At 51.7% G+C, this 8,989-nt stretch overlaps 1 protein-coding gene across 32 annotated transcripts, besides 5 other annotated features; it reads right to left on the minus strand.

Moving 5' to 3' along the window:
• Positions 1,025–1,774: an enhancer, noted in NCBI's record as "H3K27ac-H3K4me1 hESC enhancer chr1:109820047-109820796 (GRCh37/hg19 assembly coordinates)". NCBI's record gives its function as "activates a minimal SCP1, AML or CMV promoter by ChIP-STARR-seq in primed H9 embryonic stem cells {active_cell/tissue: H9 hESC(primed)}" and the evidence as "EXISTENCE:reporter gene assay evidence [ECO:0000049][PMID:30033119]".
• Positions 1,067–1,361: an enhancer, noted in NCBI's record as "tiled region #472; HepG2 Activating DNase unmatched - State 5:Enh, and K562 Activating DNase unmatched - State 5:Enh". NCBI's record gives its function as "activates a minimal TATA promoter and a strong SV40 promoter by Sharpr-MPRA in HepG2 and K562 cells {active_cell/tissue: HepG2 | K562}" and the evidence as "EXISTENCE:reporter gene assay evidence [ECO:0000049][PMID:27701403]".
• Positions 1,446–1,505: an enhancer, noted in NCBI's record as "active region_1438". NCBI's record gives its function as "activates an Ori minimal core promoter by ATAC-STARR-seq in GM12878 lymphoblastoid cells {active_cell/tissue: GM12878}" and the evidence as "EXISTENCE:reporter gene assay evidence [ECO:0000049][PMID:35858748]".
• PSRC1 (proline and serine rich coiled-coil 1) lies at positions 3,156–6,745 on the minus strand. 32 transcript variants are annotated; one of them, XM_005271283.4, is made up of 8 exons: positions 6,674–6,745; positions 6,280–6,331; positions 6,118–6,175; positions 5,219–5,660; positions 4,737–4,851; positions 4,377–4,646; positions 3,996–4,089; positions 3,156–3,756 (listed from the first exon to the last, which is right to left on the minus strand). In XM_005271283.4, exons 2-8 carry the CDS (start codon positions 6,296–6,298, stop codon positions 3,753–3,755), a joined length of 1,002 nt encoding a protein of 333 aa, XP_005271340.1. In that variant the 5' UTR covers positions 6,299–6,331; positions 6,674–6,745; the 3' UTR covers positions 3,156–3,752. The 32 variants fall into 32 exon arrangements, with proteins under 32 accessions (XP_005271340.1, XP_047288240.1, XP_047288231.1 ...); XM_047432284.1 differs by having other exon boundaries at positions 4,377–4,516; positions 4,708–4,851; XM_047432275.1 differs by having other exon boundaries at positions 4,377–4,569; positions 4,708–4,851.
• Positions 7,114–7,839: an enhancer, noted in NCBI's record as "NANOG-H3K27ac-H3K4me1 hESC enhancer chr1:109826136-109826861 (GRCh37/hg19 assembly coordinates)". NCBI's record gives its function as "activates a minimal SCP1, AML or CMV promoter by ChIP-STARR-seq in primed H9 embryonic stem cells {active_cell/tissue: H9 hESC(primed)}" and the evidence as "EXISTENCE:reporter gene assay evidence [ECO:0000049][PMID:30033119]".
• Positions 7,207–7,256: an enhancer, noted in NCBI's record as "active region_1439". NCBI's record gives its function as "activates an Ori minimal core promoter by ATAC-STARR-seq in GM12878 lymphoblastoid cells {active_cell/tissue: GM12878}" and the evidence as "EXISTENCE:reporter gene assay evidence [ECO:0000049][PMID:35858748]".

Below are 8,989 nucleotides of genomic sequence, written 5' to 3' on the forward strand. Positions count from 1 at the left end.
AATTCCTAGGCTCAAGTGATCCTCCCGCCTTGGCCTCCCAAACTGGGGTCACAGATATGAGCTACCGCATCCGGCCTAGTTCCAAGTTTTGTGTTTGTCGAAGTTCCATTCAATAAACTAGAAAGGCAGCTGGGTGCGGTGGCTCATGCCTGTAATCCCAGCACTTTGGGAGGCCGAGGTGGACAGATCACCTGAGATCAGGAGTTTGAGACTAGCCTGGGCAACATGGTGAAACTCTGTCTCTACTAAAAATACAAAAAAATTAGCTGGGTGCGGTGGTACATGCCTGTAATCGCAGCTACTCCAGGGGCTGAGACAGGAGAATCACTTGAACCTGGGAGGTGGAGATTGCAGTGAGCTGAGATCGTGCCACTGCACTCCAGCCTGGGTGACAGAGCGAGGCTCCATCTCAAAACAAACAAAAAAACTAGAAAGGGAGTTAACCTGGGGACAATATAGGGTGATGATTAAGAACACAAACCCTAGCTGGGCAGTGGTTCACGCCTGTAATCCCAATACTTTGGGAGGCCAAGGCATGTGGATCACTTGAGGCCAGGAGTTAAGAGACCAGCCTGGCCAACATGGTGAAACCCATATCTACAAAAAATACAAAAAAGCCAGCTGTGGTGGTGCATGCCTGTAGTCCCAGCTACTAGGGAGGCTGAGGTGGGAGGATGGCTCAAACCCAGGAAGTAGAGGCTGCAGTGAGCCAAGATCGCACCACTGCACTCCAGCCTGGGTAATAGAGCCAGACCTTGTCTCAAAAAAAAAAAAAAAAGGACACAAACCCTAGAACCAGACTGAATGACTTAATCTTTCTGAGCCTTAAGTTTCTCTGCCCACAAAATGAGGATGATGATAAAAGCATCCACCTAATTGAGCTTTTATGAGGATTAAGTGAGTTAACACATGTAGAGTGCTTGGAAGAGTTCATAGTACATAGTAAGAGGCCAGTAAACACTGGCTTTCTGTGTTGTTGCTACTGGGTGCAATGGAAGAGTGCACAGAGAGAAAAAGTAGAAAGCCAGGCCCAAAGGGAAGGAGACAGGCAGGTGGCTGAACAAGAAGGGCAGCCATGGCAGGAGGGCCTCCTCCCTGACTGGCACTGCTTACTGAAAGTGCTGCTGAAGCAGGTTTAGAGTGGGAGGAGGTGGGGTGGGGACAAAACTCAAGGCTGACCAAGAGGGCGAACAGGATGTGCCATGCCCTCTCCAGCCGCCAGGTGGCAACAACACATGGGTCTGCAGCTTGTTTTGCCTCTAAGGACCCACCCTGGACATGGCTCCACACAAACATGTCACCTTCTGGCCTCACCCAGGTGTGTACCTAAGCCTGCTGACCTTCCAGTGCTTCTATTGGCCCAGGAGCCACCAACAGGCCCTGCTCACTAGACACCAGTGCAGGGCGCAGCTGGGAAGCACACCTGAGGTTTCTTGCCTTACGCCAAATTTCTCCAGAGCTGAATACTCCGTGTCTGTCTGCATACCCCTTCCCTCCCACCGATTCCTGGAATCCCAGAGGCTGCGGGAGTTGCTGCAGAATTCAGGGAAAGGTGCATATCTAGGCATTGTCACTGAAGTAGGTGAATGTGCCAGGTGAACCTTGGAATCAGCCACAAAAAGGGGAAAGCAGTGATGGGCCTCTGGCTCCAGGGACAGGGCAAGGACACTTTGGTGCCTAAGTCAGGCATTTATGGCCAAATAGGCATGGGTGGGGGCACCAGCTGGCAGTCCCACTTCTCTTTGCCCACTTACCTGCTGCTTTTCTCAAGTCATGGCCTGACCTTCAGGGAGGGAAGTTTCCTCAAAACTCAGAAGGAATTGAATTGGTTCTGATTACTAGAGTTAAAGGCTGCAAAAAAAGGGAGGCCCTACACCAAATCTGTTAAACGTGTCTTTGTTATTCCTTCAACAAACACCATCTTGCACTCGAATATCTTCTGAATAAATAAACTAAATGCTCTGCTACACACAGGTCACAACACTAGGGTACTGCAGAGGTTTCCGGATCCTGACGCTCACCCCCAAGTCTAACAGGGGAGATGAGGAGAGCACAGACAACCCCAGTGATGTTAGTTGGAGCCTGACTAGGTGTTCCAGCAGCTCTGGCTGAGGTGATCAGGGAAGATGAACACCACCAAAGGGCCTTCACGTCTCACAGGGAGAGCAAACAAGAAGCTGGTGCGTTTCTAGGAGGCTCCATTATTTTGCCAGTAAAGGACATTCAAGTTTAGGATATAAATAAGAATCTACCTAGATCCTAGCTTAATAGCCTCACATACTGTGAATTAAGCTACACTTAACTTTCATCTGGACCTTCCAATGATACCTGAGACCTGGGGAAAGGCAGCCTGTCCTTGTCTAATGCCAACAAGGGGAGCAGTCACAGCCTGATAAGCTGGAATCTCAAGGCCCTAGGGCCTATTCAGGCCCCTGCCTAGGAGGCCCATCCTGGCTCCCTGCCTGGAATTAGAGATTTACTCCAAATTTGTTAGAAATTGGAGCAGGGGGCTGGGTGCGGTGGCTCACACCTGTAATCCCAGCACTTTGGGAGGCCGAGGCGGGCGGATCACGTGAGGTTGAGAGTTCAAGACCAACCTGACCAACATGGAGAAACCCCATCTCTAGTAAAAATACAAAATGAGCCAGATGTGGTGGTGCATGCCTGTAATCCCAGCTACTCGGGGCGGCTGAGGCAGGAGAATCCCTTGAACCCGGGAGACAGAGATTGCAGTGAGCTGAGATCGCACCATTGTGCTCCAGCCTGGGCACCAAGAACAAAACTCCGTCTCAAAAAAAAAAAAAAAAAAAAAAAGAGAAATTGGAGCAGGGGCTGGGTGCGGTGGCTCACACCTGTAATCCCAGCACTTTGGGAGGCTGAGGCGGGTGGATCACCTGAGGTTAGGAGTTTGAGACCAGCCTGGCCAACATGGTGAAACCCCGTCTCTACTAGAAATACAAAAAATTAGCCGGACGTGGGTGGCAGGCGCCTGTAATCTCAGCTACTCGGGAGGCTGAGAAAGGAGAATTGCTTGAACCCAGAAGGTGGAAGTTGCAGTGAGCCCAGATCGCGCCATTAAACTCCAGCCTGGGTGACAGAGCAAGATTCTGTCTAAAAAAAGAGAAAGAAATAGGAGCAGGATCGACTTCCAGATATACAGAGAATATAAAAATACATTCACTTTATTTTAGAAAAATGAAGACTCATAGAGTAAGCTTATCACAAACTGGCCTATTAGGAGTCACAGAATTCACAGGAAACAATTTCTGAAGACCAGGTGCCTGCTGCCACCTCTCCAAGCAGGCCAGAGTCCAGTAGAGAATGCGATTCAGGAAGATGGCTCCTCAGAGGGCAGGGAGGTTAGCTACGGAGGCCGCTCACGTGGAAATGTCCAGTGAACCAATGCCAAGGAAGAAGATAAAATTCTCTGGGGCTGACCACAACAGTGGGGGTGGATAAAGACAAACCACTTGCCTGTACTTCTCATCTTCTATTTGTTCATTTCACTGCTGGAAGGTGACCTCTTTTCCCCTAATCTTCTTTCAACCCAGAGAGTTTAAGTCTTCTCCAGCTCAATCCTAATCCACCCCATTTCCCATGGTCTCTACTCCTGGGAGACCAGCCCTGGTGGCATCTCTTCCTCCTGTCCCTGGGCCAGAATCTGCTGGAGTCAGGGTCTGCTGGGTAGAGGCGAGTCCAGGTACTGACTGTAGTGGTTTGCTACTGAAGTCTTGCTTGCTGTCCTGATCTCTTTACCTAAAGAAATAGAAGGAATAACTGCTTTAAAATGCCCTTCTTCCTCAAGCCCATTTGTCACCCAGCAGAATTCAAGCTCCTCAGGGTGGGAAGAAATGGGATCCCCCTTCCCCTGCCCCAGGCTCCCCTCCTCTCTCCATCTTTCCATACAAAATTCAGGGCTGATGTGCATAACAGCTTGGAATCCCAGATGATGGCGGGGTAGGGAGACAGGATGGGCAAGGGAGGACCAGACTGACCTGGTAGGTCCTGGGACTGCCACTTTCCTGGGGGGCTGCAGATTGCTGCGAGTGGCACCCATGACAGGAAGATTTAGTCGCTGGGAAACAGGAACTTCATGGGGGTTAACAAAAGAAATGAGTTAGCAGCAAGTTTAACTGACCTCGAAAAGAAATACTGGATGAAGGGAGCGAGTGTGGGATTAGTACTCTCCCCCTGACCATGAGGTATTTGAAAACTAAGACTCAGACTCTGTCCAGCCCCATATCCTCTCTGTAACTCAGTCTCCCCATCTTCCAATTGAATTGCAATAAGGATGGCAAAAGTGGTCACTGTTGACAGCTCTGGGAGGGTGAGGACACGCTGGGCAAGGGCGGGCATTCTTCCTCCTGACCTCTTACCCTTGTGTCCACTTTCCCGCACTCTGTGTCCTGCAGTGCTTGGTCTTGGAAGCCCTTTTCGAGTTGACAGAGAATCCGGAGGTAGGGCACCTCTGCCAGGTGGCACACTCCGGCTGGTGAGTGGCATTCGGCTGGCAGGCCTGGGGATGGCCGAGGGAATGGGCAGTTGACTGGAAGATTTAGCAGCTGCTCCCTGCGGCCGGGGCAGGCGTTGAGAGTTGCTGGTAGAAGGCTGTGGGGCCAGGACGGATCTGATGGGGGTGGGTGGGCCTGGTGGAGAGGGGTGGAGAAATTTCAGGGTCAATCCCACAAACTCCCCACTCCCACTCACCCGCAACTTGGCTGCTCTGGTCTCCTCACTGGCTGCTGCTCTCCCACTGGGCCCGGCTCTCCCCCGGACTGGGGGAGTCGATCGGGTAAGAGGAGAAGATGCTGGGCTTTTGGATGCAGGGAACAGATTGCAAGTGGGTGACTCCTGAAACACAAAGAGAGAGAGAAAAAAGACTAGAGTGGAAAAAATATCTGTTCTGTGGCTTAAGGAATTAAGAAATAGAGGTGGAGAGTTGTCTACATCCCAGTAAGGAAGGGTAGAAGTTAGCTGCTAACATCACCACATCACCATCACCATCACTATTGCCAATACCATTTATTGAGTTTATCATAGACATATACTCAGACACTGTGGTAAGAGTTTTGGTTCTCTTTTTTCATGGTTCTCATTTAATTCCAACAATTCTAGATGTAGAAATGCTATCCCTGTTTTACCAATAAGGAAACCACTCCCTGCATCATGGCACACACCATGTCTGGGGCACACCTCCAACTCAACTCTCTCAACTCACCCTCTTCATGTTGGAGGGCCTCTTTCCAGATGTAGCCCGGAGAGCCCTGACTGACCCCTTCCTATCATTACTCCGGAGTCGAGGCGTCAGGCTGCTTGGGGAGGGGGTGCTCCGCGTCAAAGAGTTCACAGTGGGCAGCAGGTCTCGGACAGGACTATCCTTCAGCACAAAGGTCTCCCGCCGAGGACTGGGCTTCACTCGGCGAGGCCCCAGGCCCTCGCCTGCGCTCTCCCGATCCTGCAGGGCACACTGCTCCAGCTGAGCGGCCAGCCGGTTGGCCTCATCGAGGATCTCCTCCAGCTTCTCTGGACTGAGGGGGCCTAGGCTGAGCCTCACACCCTGGGGGGCAGGTGCCACTGCATTTGGGTCACTTCGGTGGGAGAGGCCCCGTCGAAGTGGTTTCTCTGGAGTCACCAACACTGTTATGTCTTCCTCCTCACGGCTGAGACAGGAAACAAACCAGGCATCATGCCCATGCAAAAGGGAACAGGAGATTATGCAAGGGAGACTGCATAAAAGCCCCACAACAGAGCCAGGGACATGACCCTAGGCCCCGATGCCCATGCTGGCTGTGAGATGTGGCCTCTGGGCGATGAGATACCTGGTTCTATGGGGCCTAATAGGCCTTTAGCATTTACGGACATCAGAAATGATGCCAGGATGGAGATGCAGCAAATCCACTTATCCTTCTTCTTAACACCCTGAAATCTAACTCCAGCTTCTCCCTTCTCTCCCCGCTACCAATAGTGTCATAGAGGCCCGAGTCAGCCAGCCGCCCAGCAGCCCCAAGTGCGCCAAACCTTGCTAAGTTACCAACCCAAGCCAATAATTCAGCAGTAAGGGATTCGAGACAAAGAGGTACTGTTAGAGGAAAATAAGTGGGATAAAGAGGCTGGTACCTGTCAGATGGTGACAGCCCCCCAAAGTCCAAGGTCTCATCCACAATAAACCTTACATCTGAAGGGGAAAGAAGAATGAAAGCCAGTCATGGGTCCCTGATGCAGCTCTCCATCGCTGGGTCTCACTCCTCCCTTTCATTCTTCCCTCCCTCCTTTCCTTACCTTCCTCCAAATCCTCCATGTCCAGCCAGCAGGAGCGAGAGTCCAGTTAGATCTGAGCTGGAGAGAAACCATACCTTTCCTCAGGTATCCATTCTGCCCAAGGCTCGCAGCTAGATTCAGGGTGCAAGCCAGGGTCGGGGGTCATGCTGGAGGCAAAGCAAGCGCCCAGGAGTGGCACCTCCCGCACAGCTACTCCTGCTACCTCCGGGAACGATACGGAGGGCTCCCCCAACTGCCCAGATTGCCCTGGAGCCGCCCTGCATCCTGGCCTCTCCTCACTGGGGGCGGCCTGCACGCCCCATCTTCCTCCCCGCCACTATCCTCAGGGTTCTGCACTCCCCAAGCCACCTTTCCACTCCCCTGGCATCACACGCGAAGCACACCTCCAGCCCACCCTGTGTCCACTTCCCGCGCCGCCTTATCTTCCACGCAACAGGCTTTCTCCCGCAACCTAGTCCCGGGAATCAGCTCCGAGGGGGCGGGGCTCCTTTCGAATCTCTCAGGCCCCACCTACTCAAGCCACACGCGCACCGTGATTGGTGAATCCTCAGGGGGAGGGGCTGAGGAGCTGCCGGCCGGAAGTCAGCCGGTGGGGGCTGGGGGAGAACCGTTCCCAGAAGACTGCATCCCGGTGGCGGAGCCGAGGGTTGAGGCTGCGAGTGCGCGTGCTCGCGTGCGCGGAGACTCTCTTTCCCGTAGGCAGATGGGAGCAGAGCGCGGCTGGCCAGGAGGGAAGAAACGGACCCACGAGTATGGAACTCGCGCCCCGCCCCGCTCCCTCTGCTGGGCCGCCGAGCACCCAGTCTCCAGAACGGTTGTGCTGCCTAACGTGGCCGCTAACCGACGCTCTACGGGAGGAAATTCGTTTTCTTGGGCGCACTCAATATGCAGGCGCCGCATTGGCCGAGGTTCCTCAGTTGTGGGTTTTTTCCAAGTTAAGGGAGCACCTAAACACTTATATTGTAGGTATATTGAGGTTCTCTTAGAAGTACATCCTCCATCGCCTCTTCAAGAACCTGAGGCAGCTGAGGTGCAAAGAAAGCAACGGGCTTTTCACGCAGGCAGGCTTAGGTTCAAATGCAACCCAAGTTTAACTGACCTCAGAACCCAAGTTTCGGTTTAGAGGCGGCTGCCTTGAGTATATTTGCCCTCTTTTCACCTCTCTTCGCTTATCTGTGAAAGGAGGATGTTGGTCCTCGCAGTTACGGTGTTACGAGGATAATTATGAAGGCGTTTTCTACCGTGTGCCCTTAGGGGATTTAGAGGGGGTGTTTGTAAGTAGCCCCCTCTGAACTAAAAGCAGTATTTGTAAAATGCTTAAACCAACTTGTTAGGAGTGTTGTCTCTGTTGTTTCTAAATGTTGCCCGGGCCACCAGTGAACTTGTCAGAGGCTTCAAACCAGAACGACTCCATCTGGAATAGAGGCTGGGTAAAATAAGGTTGAGACCTGGGCTGTATTCCTAGGAGGTTAGGCATTCTAAGTCACAGGATGAGATAGGAGGTTGGCACAAGATACAGGTCACAAAGACCCTGGTGGTAAAACAGCATGCGGTAAAGAAGCCAGCCAAAACCTACCGAAACCAAGATGGCGATGAAACTGACCTCTGGAGGTCCTCAGTCCTCATTATACGCTAATTATAATGTATTAGCATGCTAAAAGACACTCCAGACAGCATCACCACGGTTTACAAATACCATGGCAACATCAGGAAATTACCCTACATGGTCTAAAAAGGGGAGGAATTCTTAGTTCCAGGGAGTTGCCTACCCCTTTCCCGGAAAACTCATGAATAATTCATCCCTTGTTTAGCATATAATCAAGAAATAACCATAAAAATGGCCAACCAGCAGCCCTCCGGGCTGCTCTGCCTCTGGAGTAGGCATTCTTTATCCCTTTTCTTTCTTAATAAACTTGCTTTCACTTTATGGACTTGCCCTGAATTATTTCCTATGCAAGGGCCAAGAACCCTCTCTTGGGGTCTGGATCCGGACCCCTTTCTGGTAACAACAGGAGGAGACAGCAGGTCCGCACAAGATACAGATCTCAAACATCCCTCTAATAAAACGGTGCAGTAAAGAAGCCGGCCAAATCTGCCAGAAACCAAGATGGTAAAGAAAGTAGGCCAGGCGCGGTGGCTCACGCCTGTAGTCCCAGCACTTTGGGAGGCCGAGGCGGGCGAATCACGAGGTCAGGAGATCCAGACCATCCTGGCTAACACGGTGAAACCCCGTCTGTACTAAAAATACAAAAAATTAGCCGGGCGTGGTGGCGGGCCCCTGTAGCCCCAACTACTCGGGAGGCTGAGGCAGGAGAATGGCGTGAACTTGGGAGGCAGAGCTTGCAGTGAGCCGAGATCGCACCTCCGCACTCCAGCCTGGGCGACAGAGTGAGACTCCGTCTCAAAAAAAAAAAAAAAGAAAGTGACAGCTGGTCATCCTCACTGCTTATTATATGCTAGTTGTAATTCATTAGCATGCTAAAAGACACTCCTGCCAGCGTCCTGACAGTTTACAAATGCTATGGCAACGTCTATATGGTATAAAAGGGAGAGGAGCCTTCAGTTCCAGGAAATCATGCTCCTTTCCCAGAAAACCTATGAATAATCCACCCCTTGTTTAGCATATAATCAAGAAATAACCATAAAAATAGCTTACCAGCAGCCCTTGGGGCTGCTCTATGGAGTAGCCATTCTTTTATTCCTTTACTTT

Source organism: Homo sapiens, chromosome 1, assembly GCF_000001405.40.
Source record: "Homo sapiens chromosome 1, GRCh38.p14 Primary Assembly".
In the NCBI taxonomy this organism is placed as follows: Eukaryota; Metazoa; Chordata; class Mammalia; order Primates; family Hominidae; genus Homo; species Homo sapiens.